The sequence below is a fragment of the Homo sapiens genome, chromosome 11, assembly GCF_000001405.40.
Source record: "Homo sapiens chromosome 11, GRCh38.p14 Primary Assembly".
Classification (NCBI taxonomy): Eukaryota; Metazoa; Chordata; class Mammalia; order Primates; family Hominidae; genus Homo; species Homo sapiens.
The window spans coordinates 93,051,168-93,053,202 of record NC_000011.10 but is presented as its reverse complement, the minus strand read 5'-3'; the positions used below and the strand labels follow the sequence as shown (position 1 = coordinate 93,053,202).

The 2,035-nt window shown below is 41.0% G+C and overlaps 1 pseudogene; it reads left to right on the top strand.

Annotated features, from left to right (window-relative positions):
- RPL26P31 (ribosomal protein L26 pseudogene 31) lies at window positions 336–825 on the top strand (annotated as a pseudogene).

The following is a 2,035-nucleotide window of genomic DNA, read 5'->3' as shown; positions in this document are numbered from 1 at the left end:
GTCCTGTATGGTATAATTGGACACATGGGTGGAAGGGGTACAACAAAATTCCACCAAGCATTATTGAAACATGTAAGAACTGCCTCATAGTCGCCCCCAAACTATTTGCTTCAGATTGCTGTAAGCAAATCTGAGGTTTGCAAAAGTGAGGCTCAGGGACCTATCTGGGTGAACTGATGGGGTTATTGGGTGGGCCATCCATTCAGCCCCTAATGTGGAGAAGAAAGGAATGGGCTAAAGTTACCGCCCCACATCCATAGGCAAAAAATGAAACATGAATTGAGAGGCATCTCTCACCTTCGGATAACCAGACTAATTACTATAAAAATAGTCATCTCTTTTTTTGTGGCCATCGCCGAAGTGGCAGTGACCAAAATGAAATTCAATCCATTTATCACTATAGACTGAATCAAGAACCATAAAGGACATTTCAATAAGCCTTCCCACATTCTCAGGAGGATTACATTTTCCCTTCTTTCCAAAGAGCTAAGACAGAGTACGATGTTCAATCCATGCCCATCTGAAAGGATGATGAAGTTCAGTTGTGTGAGGACACTATAAAGGTCAGCAAATTGGCAAAGTAATCCAGGTTTACAGGATGAAATATGTCATCTACATTGAACAGGTGCGGTGGAAAAAAAGCTAATTGCAAAACCACCCATGTGGGCATTCACCGCAGCAGGGCAGTTATCACCAGGCTAAAGCTGGACAAAGATGCAAAAAGATCCTTGAACAGAAAGCCAATTCTTGCCAAGTGGGAAAGGGAAAGGGAAAATATAAGGAAGAAACAATCAAGATGCAGGAATAAAGTAATCTTATTTACAAATAGTCTATATCTCCGAGTCTGTTCTAGATTATTAGGAAAAGGCTCCTCAACCATGGCCTGAGGAATAAGGAAGTATCTGTGCCCTTCAAGCCATCAAAACCCACCTCATTCTAATATCTCAAAAGAAGATCATCACCCCCTTCCCTCAGGGGTCTGTTTTCTTTCTGGAGCCTTGAATCCTATTTCAGTTGTACTGCAGGTCCAGAGACATCCCACCCCAAAACCCGAAAAGGTTTTTCCTTTCAATCTTTCCTCTTTTTTTTTTTTTCTTTTGAGGCAAGGTCTTTCTCTGTCACCCTGGCTGGAGTGCAGTGGTGCCATCATAGTCCTCACTATAACCTCAAACTCTAGGCTCAAGCTATCCTCATCCTCCTGCTTCAGCCTCCTGAGTATCTAGGTCTATAGGTGCATGTCACCACCACACCCTTCTAATTCTTTCTTTCTTTCTTTCTTTCTTTTTTTTTTTTTTGTAGAGACAGGGTTCCACTATGTTGTACAGGCTGGTCTCCAACTCTGGGCCTCAAATGATCCTCCCAACTCAGTCTCCCAACATGCTGAGATGACAGGCATGAGCCACCCAACCTGGCCAAAAGCTTTTTTATTACATACTATAGAGGAGATGAACATTATACTATCTGACTGTTATACACAACATACTTTCCTGATAATAAGTTTATTTCCTTATTAAGTGGTGAATAGGACATACTTTTGGATCTATCCTACCCATGGCTGTGCTGTCAAACCTTTATTTAATTAAAGGGTGCTATTCTCACATACTGACAAGGAACCCCTACATATTGTTGACAAGACATGCTAATATAAATTACTGTCCACTCCCAAATTAGTGGATAAAAAAATAGTGCTATGCTATAGCAGAAATGAGTCTCTGTGGAGTTATTCTAGCCCTTCCCAGCAATAGTCTCTGGGAGATGAGGAACAAGTCGGTGGAATCCTGGCCAGGATCTGTAGTTTCAAGTCCTTTCCCTGGGAGACTGTGTGTAAAATGAATGGCATGCATGCTTGCGAAGTGTCCTGTTTTAGGCATCATCTCTTAGATATTATATCTTTTAGTGTATGGGATGGGGGAGGTGCATTTTTGTACTGCCAAAAATGGTCAATGTTATCCATTTTGGTGGAAACTTTGAATATGACTCTGTGAGGTTTTTGTACTTTTAAAAATAAAGTATTTAGAATTTTCTGTTTGGTAAT